The sequence below is a fragment of the Homo sapiens genome, chromosome 11, assembly GCF_000001405.40.
Source record: "Homo sapiens chromosome 11, GRCh38.p14 Primary Assembly".
Lineage (NCBI taxonomy): Eukaryota > Metazoa > Chordata > Mammalia > Primates > Hominidae > Homo > Homo sapiens.
This window is the reverse complement of record NC_000011.10, coordinates 102611269-102628540: the sequence shown is the minus strand read 5'-3', so window position 1 is coordinate 102628540 and position 17272 is coordinate 102611269. Positions and strand designations below refer to the sequence as shown.

Below are 17272 nucleotides of genomic sequence, written 5' to 3'. Positions count from 1 at the left end.
AGACACACGGGAGTGCCAGGGAGCTGCAGGGCAGCTGGAATAAGCCTAGGGATCTCCCTGCCAGCCACCTTGAAATACCATGTTCCCAAGTCACTGCTCCACGAAGGCACCAACGTATGCTTCCTGTAACTGTTAAGAACACAGGCTTCAATGTCTAACAGAGCTGTGTGAAAATCCTGGAGCCGTCGCCTTAATATCTATATGAAGTTAACAAATCATTTATCCTCCATGAGCCCATTTCTTCACTTGAAAAACAGCGTGTCACAAAGTTGTGTGAAAAATGTACATAAGGTACTTGGCTACATGTCTGGCATATAATGTGGGTTTAATAAAGGTTCTGGTTTCTTAGGGTGATGCTACACATCTTCATTTGATCCATTATATGGGTTGACTTAAAATTTATCCCTCTAAGGACAATCTTGTTTTTCTTCTTTCTATCTTTAATCATTAATTAATCACTCATTCATACATTCACTTATTCAACAACTGTTTATTTTGTGCTAGGAACTGTTCCATGCACTAGAGACACTGCTGTGAAAAGAATATATAAAGTCCTTACCCTTATGGGACTTACATTCTACTGGTGAAAGACAATAAGCACATAACAACATACAGTATGTCGACGTATACATTTAATGGTGTAATGATTTATTTTTCCCATAACTTATTTAATCAGTGGTATTTTCCCTTTCATATTTCTCTGATAGGATCTCTCATTTCATTTTCTTTTAGTCATTGACTTGCTTTCATGTGATTTTTTAGATTTCAGTGATTTGGGTTTCAATTTAGAGTTGATACAAGAATGATAGAAAGAAAGCAGACCTTTGCTCCCCTGTGAAGAAAGAAAAATCAGGAAAAGGAAATCATAGTGAGGAATTACCAGGCATTTACTCTATTATTCTCTCTCTAGAAAGGTCAAAGATGTTGCCTAGTGCTGACTCTGAGGTGAAATTTAGTCACACTAATATATAAATGACTTATAAGAACATAAATTGTTATTCCTCTTCAAAATTTTTGCACTTGATAATTAAAATGTTGCACTTAGGAACATTGGGATTGATTGCATTTGTGTGTTAGAAAAGTGGATACTGGAACCTTCTATAAGTATGTAGATCACACCCTATAGGCAATTATTAACTTCCATGTGCTTCCAAAAACAGAACCTAGAATACTCTTTAGAGTCCTAGAGGTGAGAATATTTTCTCTCTATTGGTCCCAGAATTTCTTACCGTCATTCCTTCCACTCCAATGTTCACTTCCATGTCTGTCTTTGCTTTGGGGCCATCATAATGAATTGGAACAGTGTTTAAAGGAGAGAAAAAGGGAAGAGGATGACCAGTTGAAGGGAAGTTTCAAAGATTCTTTTTGTTCTTCAATTTTAGCAGCTGTTGAAGATAAGGCTCTAGAAGACAGGAGACCATATAAATGCAAATTTTGAAAAATTATTGCAATATCCTATTCCTTTCCTGAAACCAAAAAGCAATGATTAGTATATGTTTGTACATTCATTCATTCTTTTTTTTTAACAAACTTGATTAAGTAACATTTTTTAGAATACAGTCTTCAAACAGCTTACAATTTAGTTGAATGAATCTAATCTGTGGTTTTCTTTTTTCTTCTTCTGAGACACATGTTTTGTCTATCTCACAGTACATGCCAGAAATTCTGTTTGCCTGTGTGTATTAGTCCATTCTCACACTGCTATAAAGGAATACCCGAGACTGGGTAATTTATAAAGGAAAGAGGCTTAGTTGACTCACAGTTTTACATGGCTGGGGAGGCCTCAGGAAACTTAGAATCATGGTGCAAGGCAAAGGGGAAGCAGGCACCTTCTTGACAAGGCAGCAGGAGAGAGAAGATCAATGGAGGAACTTTCAAACACCTATAAAACCATCATATCTTGTGAGAACTCACTCATTGTCATGAGAACAGCATGACGGAACCACCCCCATGATCCAATCCCCTCCCTCCCTCAACACATGGGGATTACAATTCGAGATGAGATTTGGTTAGGGACACAGAGCCAAACCATATTAATGTGTGACAAACTCTTGTTCAGTGCCTGGGGTTGTACACTAGATACCAAACATTGGCTGTAACTCCACCATCTTCTCTTCCATGCAAAGAAAGCATATCAAAATGCAACAGAGTGAGAAAGACTATAGGAATTCACTGTATTCACTATAGGAATAACCTTGAATTTAGTCTAAAATCAAAATTAGGATTTGAATCCACATCTAGTGGATGCCAAGTGGTGCTTGCAGATGTCATGCTATATGTGTTACTCCATAACACTGAAAAGTTTATACATAGTAGTAGTATTGTCAGTCTTTTGTAGATTAAAAAAAACTTGATATTCAGAGATTAAATGACATACCCAACATCACACAGCTAGGAAATATCTTTTTAAATATTTAGTCTTGCTTTGTCTGACTCTAAGTGCTTTTCCCACCATATGACACCATTTCACCGTATCATCTCTGGATCCAAATCCATCTTAATCAGACCCAGGAAAAACAATATGACTCCAATTAACCAGAGTACACAGAGATTGGGGAGTTCTGGCTATTGTTTTGGTTAACGAAGACGTAACTCTTGCCTTAATTCATCCAAAAGCTTTCTAACAGTTACCAGTTCACTTTCCACCCTAAGTCAGCACAGTATAATGTAATCTTGCCTTGATGATTCAGGATCTTATGTGTCTCAGAGCCATCATTATGAACAGCAGTTGCTACTAAGAAATTTTGAAGTGAATGCAGGAGATACAGGCGATTGGGTTGAATGCATGGGGAGTTTGGGATTACTTGGAGGACAAATTCAATTATACTGTAATCATCTAACTTTTCTGTAATCAGAATGGAAAAAGGCCCCCAAATGAAGACTAATCAAATGTTTCAGTTGAGTTGGGTTCAAATCAATCAAGTTTACTTCAATTTTTGTAACTAGCTGACCAACTTCATTAAAAGTGACTGTTTTTCTCCTTTTGCCACTTGGTAAATAACAAAAAAAATATGAAGCTTTCCCTGATTCCTGTGTACAGTTGTGTTACCCCATCATCAGGGAGAGAAATGAGCTGTATAATTACTGTTTGAGACATGAATCATCCTTGCTCGGAGGGTCCAGACCTGTTTGACTCTATAAAAGGAGCTCAAGGTCGAAGTGCAAACGTGCACTGTCTGCCATCCCCCAGGCTGATATAATTACCAAGCTACTGTGAGGGGATGAAGGTGCTCCCTGCATCTGGCCTTGCTGTCTTCCTCATCATGGCTTTGAAGTTTTCCACTGCAGCCCCCTCCCTAGTTGCAGCCTCCCCCAGGACCTGGAGGAACAACTACCGCCTCGCACAGGTTTGTGAATTTTTGCCCAATTCCTTCTTGCTCCTCTGCCCTAGAAAACCTAAAAGGGCATAGTGAGAAAATAAGAAAAAAATTCTATTGTTCTTTTAAAATCATTTTATATAAGTCCATTGAAGTCTAACTGATGCTATCTTCTGTCCACCTAGATTGGTGTCTGGTGCATATTAGGTGTACCATGTTACATGACTGAATAAATACATGAGGATATATCTACCTAGCTATCTTGCTTCATAAAGAATTCCAGGTGGCTTGTGAAAACCATGCAATATAAAAGGAGCAAACAAGTACTTCCCGGGAATGATGTAGGAGGAAAAATAGAAGCAGAAAAATAAAAACCGAGGCATAATCCACACGCTAGAGGCAGGTTGTGAATTTAGTGCTAAGCTTTAGCGGTCACAACAAGGAGATTTCCTGTGTTTCCACTTTTTAAATGGCTCTTATATTCAAGGTAACCCTGATCAAAATTTAAAGTGGACTAAGTTCTTCCTGGGTGCCAACCCACTTCTCATTTGAAGGCCTTTTCTCCCTAAAGCATATTCCCCAATGAAGTAAAAGTTTATGTACAAAGTACATAACAAAGTTTATGTAGTAAGTACAAAGTACAACGTTTATGTACTTAAACTTTGTGTATTTTCCTCTTTTGAGATCTCTCCTCTATGACTGCTGGAAAGGGTCTGATAGAAATGATCCATATTCAAATATTTCACAAAGACTGCTTGACTCAAAATGATTTCTACATATATATATATATATATATATATATATATATATATATATATATATGCTTCCAAGCGTGTTTTGTTTTTAAAAGAAGGGTGGCATCCTTAACCTAAAGAAATGGATGTCTACGGATGGAATTTCCAACATTAGTGAAAGATATATAGAGGAAATGCTTTTGCACACAGGCCTCCCTTTCAAGAGTCTGCCAACATTACAGCACATCTGTGATCACCAGCTCCGCCTCAGGGCTGCTTTCCTGACTGCCAGGCTGCACCTGTGTACCGCTTGGCTGTCTGCATCGTAGAGCTGATTTGCACCCATGTGCAATGGCATGTCCCTACCGATTGTTTCTGCCACTCATCCTTATTAACTGGTCAGTTCCCCGGCCATACCAGTCATTAAACACTTAAATATCAGCCCCGCAGATGAACAGCACAGCTGATGCCCAGCACAACCATGTTGAACTGAACTTCTTTTGACTTTAGCCCACTTTTAGATGAACTAAATTCAAAATAACTCAGGATACTGGGATCCTTATTCAATTGTATTTTGTCCATGCCACCTAGCTTTAGGTGCCTTCTTCCCAAATGTAATTTTCCCTACCCTGCCTCATGCCACTGTGATTCTGAAACTAAAGAGGTTTTGTGACCTCCAGAAGGAGAGCCATGCTGAGGCCAGAATGGATCTGAGGTGTTGGGAGACCCCCCTTCTAATCCACAGTTCAGGAAAACTACAGTTGGCCCTGCCCCTTAGTTTACAGATTGTCTATGATTGCTTTTGTGCCACAATGGCAGAGGTTAGCCTAGAAGCAAAGAATATTAATTATTGGTCCTTTGCAGAAAAAATTAGTCACCCCTGACCAGTCTATTAAGGAATAAGGCTAGACCAGCCAAGCACCAGTTTCATAGAAGACAGTTTTTCATGGACGTGGGAAGTAGGAGGCTGGAGGGGTGATGGTTTTGGGACGAAACTGTTCCACCTCAGATCATCAGGCATAAGATTCTCAAAAGAGCATGCAACCTAGGTCCCTCACACATGCAGTTCACAATAGGGTTCTGCTCCTATGCGAATCTGATGACTCTGCTGATCTGACAGGAGGCAGAGCTCAGGAAGTAATGCTGGCCCGCCACTCACCTCCTGCTGTGGGGCCAGGTTCCTAACAGGCCACAGACTGGTTTCCGGGTGCAGCCCAGGATCAGGGGACCCCTGGGCTAGACACTCTTGGGTGGAGTCACTCTTGCTATTCTAGCTGGTCAGGAGTCAGCTAGGCACGTTTAGAAACAGTAGCATGGCCTGGGAATATTGGGGACCTTTAGTGATTCCTTACTTCTTCCTCTCCAAAATAAATCAACCCTTCTCTGTCTCCCTTATGACATACTCTCAGAAAGACCTTAGACCAAGGAGCAGGGAAACTTGTCCACATCTCCTCACCTGACACACAGCACCTTTGCTTGCAATGGCCCTGGTCCTCAGCTCTGGGCAGGGACACTCAGGAGCCTGGAATGATCTGGCTGAACCTCTAATGAGGATCACAATGACAGGAAACAATTATTTAATAACATCCCACCTTATAATTTATAGAAACATTATATAACAACCTCATCAGCCTCATAAAATCACAAACAAAAGCAGTAAAATAGGCAGCATAAGTTCATGTATTGAATGCTTACAGCATGGCATATGCTGGAGAAATATGAGAGAATCAAACAAATCAAGCCCCTGTTCTTATGCTCCTTCCATGAGGATGAGGGAGCTGGTGGGAAGGTGCTGGGAGAAGATAAACAAGTCAACCAATGAGTGCACAAGATGTTTCAGAAAGTGATCAGTGAGCCTGGAAAGAAGTTAATCAGGATGACAGAGTGTTGCTGACTGGGACAGTGGTCTGGTGAGGGAGTATTTTTAATGGCGTAGTCCAGGAAGTCCTCTCGGAGGAAGTGAACTTTGAGATGAACCTGAGCTGCATGAAAGAGCCAGTCACGTGAAGACCTGGAGATGGGGCAGTCCAGACGGAGGAAACAGCAGCTGCTTGGAATGCAATCATCAGGCCCATGTGACTAGAGCTCAGAGGTCAGGAAAGAGGGTCCCAGAGGAGTCCCAAGGACAGGTGAGGCCAGCAGGTCCTCTGGTGCCTGGTGGCCTGGGTCACGCTAAGCAGAGAGAGTGCTTAGGGATGCTCTCTTCTTGCTAAGTGATCTGTTAGGTCACTCGCTAAGAAAGAACAAATGGCTCCTGGAAACACCAGAGAGGCCACGTTTCCAAACACCATACACCTCTCCCTCCCCTAAAAAATCTACACTTGAAAAGATAAACAGCTTCTTGATTTATTTAATGTCCACTTGTGTCCTTTAAATTCTGATTTGCTAATTTGCCTAAATGCTTTGAAAATGGTAAGATGGCAAAATGCTTACCTATTCTCATAATCCAGGATTTTATTCTGGGTTTGTTTGTTTGTTAAACAAAATTAGTGTCAATATGACATTTAAAACATACTTTTTAAATTATGCTTAAAAATAAAAATTTTAACTACCACATTATTATGAACTCATAACTAAGGAAAATGAAAATACACACTGTTAATTCAGGTGTTTTTACTACCATTTTATTTTCTATGATAAAGACTTTTTAAAATTGTTACTGTCTTCAAAATGTGGTTTTTACTTTTCTAACTATTATGTCATAAGAAAATTTTGGTTTTATACTATTTTCATAACATCACTTTAAACAGTCAGAAATATTCCAGAATATGAGTTATAATTTATTTGACCATTTCCTTTAACAAATAGATTACTTCCATATGAATAAGGCTTCTATAAGCATCTTTGTACATCAAGCTAATTTAAACAATTATTTTTTCAGGATAGGTTTCCAGACATGGACTTAATGAGTAAAAGGGCATTTGAAAGTATTTTGTCACATTTAAAAGCATTCATATTGAGGACCTCATTGGATCCTCACACTCACGTAGCCAGTAGGGCAGAAACCACTCTATAGATGAGAAAACTGAAACCACAAGAAATTAAAAGAATTGCCCAAGCGTGTTAGTGACACAGCCTGGACTAGAACCTAGGATTTTTCAGACAGCTTTAAAAGTTCTCACAAATCTATTTGTGTGACTGTAAGGAACATGGCTGTGCTGCAGCCAAGCGGGCATAGGCCAAGGTAAACATCCTGCGTGACTCAGCGAGTTTAGGGTGCAGGCGTACATTTCCACTTGTTATCACAGCCATGTAGCCATAACATGGGAAGGCCATCACTTAGCTCTAAGCCACTATTGTCTGTAAAAGGTATAATTGCCCTGCTGACATTGTACAGGAGTCCTCTCACCCAGAGAAATAGAGAGAGAGCCAAAGGTATCCATCTTGCAGGCGGGTAGGAGGGAGCCAGGAACCGGCTTGTGCCCAGAGAGAGAAAGAGTTAAGCTGCTGACCCTGAAGGGTGGGCCAGCCACGCAGATGTGTGTGGGAGCAGCCGGCTCAAGCAGCCGAAACAGGGCGGACAGTGTGAGAAAGCTGCTGATGAGAGAGCTGCTGAATAAAACCATATTCATCTGCCTATGCCCTCACCCCCTCCCTGAGGATTCTTTCAGCTATCTGCCACCCACCCATTCCCCTCAGACCTCAGCATGGGCTGGAACCTGACACTGAGAATGACATTTAGTGTAGTCGTGGCCCCAAACCTGATCCTGGAACCTGACAGTGACTTTGCCAAAAAAGAAAAATGTTGAGGAAATGTACCTTAAGTTTCACCCTGTCCTGGAGCGTACTTAAACTGAGTTTTAAACTCTTAAGTCTCAGGAAGGACACTAGGAAAATGCACGGAATAAGGGCTTGGAAGGGAGACCTAAGCTGCTAGCCTGCAGGAATGGAACCCCTGGCCTCCTGTACTTTTATCTGTCAGATACCAGAAGAGAAGTGGAGAGAGGACCACCTGATAATTGACCCAAAAATCTACAATTTTAACAATGAGGAAGTGGGGAAGATTGGAGGGAAATGGGACAACTCTGGTGAATTCTGAATTCTTTGTCCCAGTGCCAACATTAAGTGCTGAGCCAACATATGCAAGTGTTAGAGCATCACATGAAAGCAATTCTAAGTACACACCTAAGTGCCTGATAGAATATTGTGACAGTGAAAAGTATGCCAAAACCTTGTCAGTAACTTTAGCAAGAAAGTGCCCAGAGTTCTGAGCTCTCAGTACTTCAGGATATCTGATAATTCTTCAAGGAAACATACTTTCATATTTTGCCTAAAGAAAAAGAGCTCAAACATTAACTGAGCATCTACTCTGAGCCTAGAACTGAGTCAAACACAGGGTTTGCATCTGTGAAGGCAAAACGGTGCCTGACTGGAAGGAGGTTGCAAACAAGCAGGTGAGAGTGATAAGAAATTGGTAGGAAGTGATGGTTTATGGTGCAATGAGACAAGTGTTTTACTAGAACAAGAATCACATCTTATGGAAGCACCAACTAGGGAGAGATTTTGTTTATATCACTGCAGTGATGAATTTTTGTTTTTAAGAAGGAATAGTTTCTAATTTTATTTTTACTTCATTAAAAGGTACTATTTCAATCCTGCCTATATGACCAGCCAGAAACCTTTTGTGCTCTAAGACTAACATTTTGTGCATATTTTAAAGAAACAAACAGCTGGTTATAAAAATTACGCAGGTTCATAGTAAAAAAAAAAAAAGTAAAAGCCCTATCTTTAAAAATACATCATCTTAAATCCATTATTAAGGTTTAACCACTGTTAGTCCCTTAGACTATATCTTTCATAATACTTTTCTATGATTCAGGGCCAGGATTAGTGTGAGACAACCAAAGCAGGAATGCATCCTGTATTTAAAATTTTGAAATTTTGTTTATCATGGATTTTTTTGGCATTTATTTTGTTTTTTTTAATTCTGCATTAAATTATGATTTATCTTGATTACGGAGTTTTTGGTAACCCACCACTGGCCTCATCTCAGCCCTGGTGATATGACTGGGATGGTGTGACTAGATACCACTTATGTTTATAAACATGGCTCATGTTGTAACAGCAGTGGTAAACACGGCAAACATGTTTTCCACTTAATTTATCATGAGCATCTTCCCTTATATAACCTATTTTGTGAAACAAAAACTAGAATGTAGAGTGTAATACATAACCTAACAGGAGAACAAAATATTTGAAATCAATGATCTCAGAGACACAGAGGACCTGGTCTTATACATGGAGCTTAACCCTGAGGAGTATAATTCAGACATTACCACAAGCATTGCATTATCACAGCATCAACTTGCACAGACAGGAACAATTCATCCCATCAACCTCATTTGCAAAAAAAAAAAGATGAGAAACATCAATACTTAAGGTGGTCTAACTAGAGACGGAATGGAACCAAATAGTCGCAGCTTTGTTTCAGAACACCTAGGCTAGGTTTCAGAGCCTGGGCACCCCATGTTCCCTCTCCCTTTTCCTCCTCTTGGCTTCTCATCTCACCTAAGGTTTTTACAAGGGACAACAATGGGGAAAGCGATCTTCTCTCACAGGAAGGGCAGGGAGTAAAGGATCAGCTGATCCTGCAGTGAAAAAATAGCGTACCCTCTCCAAACATGAGTGATACTTACTCCTTTTTATTTTTTCCCCAGCAGTAATGGTTCATGCTCATTGTAAAAACTTTTGGAATATAGGAAGGAATAAAGAATAAATTAAGTCATCTGTAATTTCATTACCCAGACATAATCAACATTAATATTCAGGCAGACTTCCTTTTATTATTGTATGTGTGTGCGTGTGTGTATATGCGTGTATATGTATGATTTATTCAGAAAATTATTATTATAACCTTATAAAGATTTCTCCTCTTCTTTTCTCAGTATATTGCCATTACATAAAGAGCATTCTTTCATACCATTAAATATTTATTTTTCAAAACTGATCTTAGTAGAGGCCTAGTACTGTCTCATATAAATATAGGATAATATATATAATAAATCCCCTGACATCAGACATTAAGGTTACTCCCAATTACTTATTATCTTTATATATATGTTAAAAATATGTGTGTATAATATGTAAGTAAACAATTTGCATAGTTTATATGTGGTAATATATGGTTAATATATAGGCTAATAATATGTAATTTATATCTAATAAATAAACATGTCTATACTATATAAATATAAAATTGTATATAATTAAATACAATCAGTGCTCTGTATCCATGGGATCTGTACACATGGAATCAAACAATTGTGGATTGAAAATATTCAGGAAAAAATCGACGGTTGCATCTGTTTCAGGGAAGACATGTTCAAAACAGACATTTTTTTTGTAGCTTTTCCCTAAACAATACAGTATAACAACTATTTACATAGCATTTATATTATAGTACATATTATAAGTAATTTAGAGATGATTTAAAGCATACAGGAGGCTGTACTTAAGTTGTATGCAAATATTATGCCATTTTATATCAGAGACTTGAGCATCTGTGGATTTAGGTATCTGAGAGAGGTCCTGGGACCAATTCCCCCATGGACATGAAAGGAGGACTGAACCCTTAGCTGCTCTTTGGTTATTTTCCTAAAATCAGCTGAGTAGGTGAAATTCCTGAGCCAAAGGCAGGCCTCAACCCTGTATTTGCATGCCCCTGCATCACTCGTTTTACCCTAATCCCAGCCCTGAGTCATAGAAAAGTGTTTTGAACAATATATACTGAGGGGCTTTATGTCTTTTTGTGCAAATGAAAGCCTTATAATTTATGGCTTATTTTATTTGCTTCAAGAGACAAAGAGCCTTGCCTAGGAAAGTTGTCTCATGGAAACAAAATCCAGCCCACATACTAAACACATCTGAACTCATTAAAATCCTCAGCTGAAAAAAAGGTGGACCCTCTGCCTTTGTAAAGTGTGAGAGGCTGGAATACAATGCCTTTAAGAGTTAAAAGCATACTGATCTTGCATTATGTACAATGGAAAGATGATACCAATAACTGTTTACCAAAGAAACCAGATAGCCTTTGTTTTGCAAATTGGGTAAAGAACTTCAGTGACAAATAAGTGATCCATGGAAATAATGTTCACATCAGCTTCCTTCCCTGAATTTTTTTCTTTTAAAAAAATTAGAAGCAAAAAGGCGTATTTGTTATATTCATTGCATTGTAGAAAAACTATAAAATGCAGGTGGACAAAAGGAAATAATTAAATAATCTATAATCCCCACTACCCAAAACCAATCATCGTTAATAATTTGGAGTATAGCTAAGCTTTATGTAAACAAATATGTCTACTTTTTTCATAAATGGGAAAATACTCTACACACTGCTTTTAATACATCAGGAATGCTGTCCCCTGCCTTACCTGAGCATGAGTATTTCCCAGACTACGCTGTAGACGCGTCAGCCTGCCTCTCCATTTCAGGCGTATCTTGACAAATATTACACAAATAAAGAAGGACACCAGATTGGTGAGATGGTTGCAAGAGGAAGCAATTCCATGATAAGGAAGATTAAGGAGCTACAAGCGTTCTTTGGCCTCCAAGTCACCGGGAAGTTAGACCAGACCACAATGAACGTGATCAAGAAGCCTCGCTGTGGAGTTCCTGATGTGGCCAATTATCGCCTCTTCCCTGGTGAACCCAAATGGAAAAAAAATACTTTGACATACAGGTAATGAGATCAAGTCTTTCCAAATTCAGAGAAAAACACCACCTCTCTCTTTTTCCCTTTTCTTGAAAAAATATTTTCCTTCTCATCCGTATAAAAATCCTGACACCTCACAACCATAAGAATAAGAACTTTTTACATCCATCCGTCAGGCAATGACAATGGGCAATTCACCAGAAAATACGGTTTTAGGATTATCATAATGACTGGCTATTTTAGGCATTCCAAACAATTTTACCAGCTAGAAACAACACAATTATCTTTAATCTAGTCTAGGATTAATGACCTGGCAGTACAAACCAGTTTTCTTAAAACAACCTGCTTAATGAGAAAGAAAAAAATAACCTACTAATAAAGTAATTTATTTCATTGATTCCAAAAATCTTTTATTGATGATTCAAGAAATGCATTCCATTTGAGGGTTATAAAGGTGAACAGGTCAACTTTCTTGACCTTAGGGAACTCACAGTCCTTTAAGGAGAGACAGACATGCAAACAGACAGCTGTAGCTCTGTGTGAAAAGTGCAAAAGCATAGCTCTAAGCAGTGAACTGTGGGACCACAGTTCACATGGACAGAGCTACCAAGTGGCCCAGGGACCAGCAGTAACATCTGAGCCTGATTCGAAGGCAAAGCAGAAGCAGTTCCACTCTTAGCCCCAAGCTCCCCTCACTCCTTCCCTGCCCTCTTTCTTCCCTCCCCTAATCCTCTGGCTTCATCCCTTATAAACCAAGGGGACACACCCAACCAGAACCTCTGTCCCTCCCTGCTGTGCTCAGGGTACGGAGTCTGGAATTCCCTCTCCCACAGCCAGACCTGATTCTGGGAGCCAGCGCAGACTTCCTCCCCAGGTTGGTCCAACCAAGGGCAAACTATGTATGGTACCTGCCCCTCAGCCTGAGGTAGGGGTGGATGGTGCCTGCCTGCGTGGGCCTCATGCATGACAGATGGGTGCAGGTCAGAAAAGAAGAGTGGACTCCACTCTTTGTGGTCCTGCCCCAGGCCTTGCACATGTAAGGAGTTTTCTAAGGAGAAAACCAGACCAAGCATATAGCAGCAGAGAGTGGACAGACTGGCATGTTGATGGGCAGCATTCCCACCACAAGTGCCTAGTGCATGCGGCTGCAGCAGAGGGTGCAGGAAGGGCAATGGCAGGAAATGAGCTGGAGGGGCAGCCTGAAGGGCAACTAGAGCGTGATGTCAAGGAGTTTGGACTTTATCCCCAGGGCGGTGGAGAGCCAGGCCAGGACCAGGATCAGATTTCCCTTTTAGGATGAGCACATCTAGATGATAACTGGAGATGGGGAAAGGCTGGACTCGTGCAATAGTCTAAGCAGTGGTATGGTAGAGCTGCCGCCTAATAGCTCACAGAAGCCAATCCTTAAAATGTCAGGAATTTTGCAGCCACTTGTTAAGCTCCCAAGAATTTTGTGAGCTGGTTGCTAAGACAGCCATTGTTAAATTATGTAAATTTACTATTAAATAAATCATATTACATTACATTAAATAAATTAAATTATATTATATTAAATAAATTATATTAAATAAGTATATTATTTCATATTTATATTTATTATTAAAATATATTTTTGTAGTAATAAATAAAATACTATTTATTAATAATATATTATTAAAACATTATTTTATAATAATAAATAAAATACGTTATTTATTATTATATGTTATATTATTTAATAGGTATAATTATTTAATAAATTACATTAAATTATATTAAATACATTATATTAAATAATTACATTAATATAATAAATTATATTAAATTATATTAAAAATAAAGGTAATAACATATTGCCTCTTATTTCACTACATTTTATTATTTTCTCTGTTCATGAGGCTATGTACATCTGTATAATCTGAGTGGTTCATTCATGCTCATCTCTTCACAACCTGGCATTCAGTGATGGTAAGTTGGTAGCTTGAATTAGCCATAGTGAGAATATTTACAACACAGAAATCAGCAAGTCATGCAAATCAAGTGGGTTTTTTTTTTTCTCCTTGTAGAGCCACTTGTTAACCTGTTCCAGCACACCAGTGAGTCCATTTGATCAAAGGAGGGGCCAGAATCCAGGGAACAGTCATGAATCCCCTAGGCCACTTGTTACCTGCTATCAGCCAATAAATCCATAAGGTGGCAGGCTGAACAAAAAAACAAAGCAATTGGGGGAGAAAAACCTCATAGGAGTTGAACACAAAAGTGATTCTGAAATAGTAAGAATAAGACAAGAAAAATGTGTACGCATCGACAGAGTCTTTTCATAGTTTTCTTAAAGTAAACTGTGTTCTGGAATTTTAGTCCATGACTATGTACAACAAAGACAAGAAGCCTGGGTCAAGATAATGTGATGCTTAGGGAAGTATAATATTCTTGTGATAAGCTGGGCAGTCTTAAAAACCCCTCAACACACACATTGCCTATCCACTCTTGCTCCCCAATAACTCTACCATCGCCTCCCCATGAAAAAGGACACTAGAGGCTATCACAGTACTCTGCCTGTGTAGCTACTGACTTTCAGAATAACTTCTTACAACATAACCCAGAGGATTACAAAAGGAAAAAAAATACAGCATAGTGCTTATATGCATAAGCTTTGGAGTCAGACAGAACTGGGCTCAAACCTGACTAATCATAACATGTAGATGATGATGATGATCTTCCTCTTAGGGGTCGAAGTGAGGATTAGATAAATGCCACATTAAAAAGTGCATACAGCAACAGCACATAGTGTGACTTCAAAGAATATTGGCTAGTATTACTATTGCTTTATCAAGCTCCAGACCCTGATTCGGGGATCCCTTTTTCCATGTTCTCTTCTTCTCTGGTGCTATCCCTCTCTCCTTCCTTGTCTTCTCCAGGCCAACACACAAAGTCAGCTCAAAGATATGGCTGACTTACCAAAAATGCGAGGGCATGTCAAAGTACTAAGTCCACCTAGTTGTGATAAATTGCAGACTCATATTATGCAGTGGGCTTGGCATATTTTGAAAGCATTAAATAGTCCCTTTAAGGGTCTGTCTGGTATCCCCCTTCAATTCTATAGCTCTCTTCTTTTGGCCCCAAACCTGGGGTTAAAGAGCTCCTTGTTCCTTCCCTCTCAAGTCCTGAATTGAGCTATTTGCTATCCTTTCTGTGGGCACAGTCCTTTCATTTGGGACCCTAGGATTACTGCTGTTGGTTTCTCATTGAAATTGCACCATCTGCATTATAATAACCTAAGATACCTTTCAAAACACAGATTTCTGGATCATACCTGTATTTTTAACAAGCTTCCTAGGTAATTATCACAGGTCCTAAACTTCGAGAGCCACTGAGTGGGCCCTAAAACAGCTAGCTTTAATTCTTTAATTCATTCATTTATTTATCAAGCAATTGCTAAGCATCTGCTATGTGCAAGGCACTAAACTAGGAGCTAGAGAGAGAGAGAGAAAGCAGGGCCGGTCCCTGCTCATGGGGTTGGCTCTCACAGACACAGCTTCTCACTTTGCATCATATTCCAGCCCAGCCCAAGGTCTCGGGTAGAAGTTGCCCTCCCTGCCTTTCCTTTGTGTGCTGCCAGAAATCCCCAGACCCTGGGCTTCAGAGCAGAAAGTTCTAACAATCACCAACTCTGACTCCACCCACAGTCCAAAAAGCACTACATTTTTCTGCCTTCAGGTGTCATCGTCACACCAGTAATTGCTGAAAGGCTCACCCTTTTTTCAATTCCAGTGAGCCTCCGTTTTTAAAGCTAGCCCTTCCTCTTTAAGAATGTATTATTTTGGGCTGGGGGCAGTGGCTCACGCCTGTAATCCGAGCACTTTGGGAGGCTGAGGAGGGCGGATCACCTGAGGTCAGCAGTTCAAGACCAGCCTGGCCAACATGGTGAAACCCCGTCTCCACCAAAAATATAAAAATTAGCCCGGCGTGGTGGCGGGCACCTATAATCCCAGCTACTCAGGAGGCTGAGGCAGGAGAATCAATTGAACCTGGGAGGCAGTGGTTGCAGTGAGCAGAGATCATGCCATTGCACTCCAGCCTGGGCGACAAGAGCAAAACTCCATCTCAAAAAAAAAAAAAAAGAAAGAAAAGAAAAAGAAAAAAGAAAAGAATGCATTATTCTGAGGGAAAAAAAAACCTTCCCCAATAGCCCTGGGGAAATCCTGAGGAGCTTTGAATAAGAATTAGCAAAACTTCAAAACTCCACATTTCTATTTTTTATAATTGAAAACATCCAGTCCCTTTGGGGAAAAAGAGGTCCTCTCTCAATGAAAACGACTTTAAGAAAAATTGACTACTTACTACCTGTAACATTTCACAAGTTTTATTTATCTTATTTATTTATTTAATTATTTTTGAGTGAAGTCTCACTGTGTCACCCAGGCTGGAGTGCAGTCGCCCGATCTTGGCTCACTGCAACCTCCACTTCCCAGGTTCAAATGATTCTTCTGCCTCAGCCTCCCAAGTAACTGGGACTACAGGTTTGCACCACCACGCCCAGCTAATTTTTGTATTTTTAGTAGAGATGGGGTTTCACCATCTTGGCTAGGCTGATCTCGAACTCTTGACCTCAAGTGATCCTCCCACCTCAGCCTTCCAAAGTGCTGGGATTACAGGCGTGAGCCACTGCGCCCGGCCACAAATTTTATTCTTTTAAGTCGGTGGTAGTATAATAACAATGAAAGCTAAATGGTTTCAGTACCGGATTATCCCAACTGTCTCTCATCTCTCCCTTTCATTTGTCTTGTTGTTTCATATGCAGAAATTTAACATATAATAAAGCAAAATAAGAATTATTATTTCAGAGAAAAATCTAAATTGTAGATTTACATTTAACATTTTTTGAATACAACATATAATTCTTGCCTTCTTCGGAGCAGTTACTGAAAAGAAAACATGTTCCTTCCGTTTTCACAGAATATCTAAATACACACCTTCCATGAGTTCTGTCGAGGTGGACAAAGCAGTGGAGATGGCCTTGCAGGCCTGGAGTAGCGCCGTCCCTCTGAGCTTTGTCAGAATAAACTCAGGAGAAGCGGATATTATGATATCTTTTGAAAATGGAGGTATTGTGGTACTTGGATTCCATCTACTAATTCAAAGGAGAGTTGTCCCAATACTGTTCCTTCTACATCTTTAATTCGAGTGATCACACACTCCTCCTTCGCACAGTGCTGTGATGGGCCAAGGCCAAGACCATGGCAAAGCCATGATCTTCATCTGGCCAGAAAATAGAACCAAAGGAGTTCTTAGCATGTCTTGTCATCATCAGACACAGCTGTAGAGTAGATTCACTGTAACAAACTTTCATTATGACTTTGCCCCACTAGGGGACAAATTCTTGCAGATTTTGCTTTCCCGTTAGCCACATGACCTCATCCATTCCCATGATAGTGTTTATCACTTATATAACCCCTTCTATATTAGCCAAGGATATCCTACCATGAATCCTCACTGAAGCAAATACCTTCCACAGTGACCTTGAAGCAGCTTTCCCCCTGCAGCAATGGTTAGGAAAGTATCGTTTCTGTCTTGCCCACACTTGCAGACCA

General features: G+C 39.8%; 1 protein-coding gene across 1 annotated transcript in view, besides 2 other annotated features; it reads left to right on the top strand.

Annotated features, from left to right (window-relative positions):
* MMP20 (matrix metallopeptidase 20) overlaps positions 3209 to 17272 on the top strand; it is a 48501-nt gene continuing 34437 nt past the window's right edge. Inside the window, exons 1-3 of the mRNA NM_004771.4 lie at positions 3209 to 3347; positions 11482 to 11729; positions 16638 to 16786. Coding sequence (NP_004762.2) covers positions 3222 to 3347; positions 11482 to 11729; positions 16638 to 16786 — 523 coding nt within the window. The 5' untranslated portion in view covers positions 3209 to 3221. The remainder of the gene's footprint in view (positions 3348 to 11481; positions 11730 to 16637; positions 16787 to 17272) is intronic.
* Positions 12230 to 12729: an enhancer, noted in NCBI's record as "H3K4me1 hESC enhancer chr11:102486543-102487042 (GRCh37/hg19 assembly coordinates)". NCBI's record gives its function as "activates a minimal SCP1, AML or CMV promoter by ChIP-STARR-seq in primed H9 embryonic stem cells {active_cell/tissue: H9 hESC(primed)}" and the evidence as "EXISTENCE:reporter gene assay evidence [ECO:0000049][PMID:30033119]".
* Positions 12730 to 13231: an enhancer, noted in NCBI's record as "H3K4me1 hESC enhancer chr11:102486041-102486542 (GRCh37/hg19 assembly coordinates)". NCBI's record gives its function as "activates a minimal SCP1, AML or CMV promoter by ChIP-STARR-seq in primed H9 embryonic stem cells {active_cell/tissue: H9 hESC(primed)}" and the evidence as "EXISTENCE:reporter gene assay evidence [ECO:0000049][PMID:30033119]".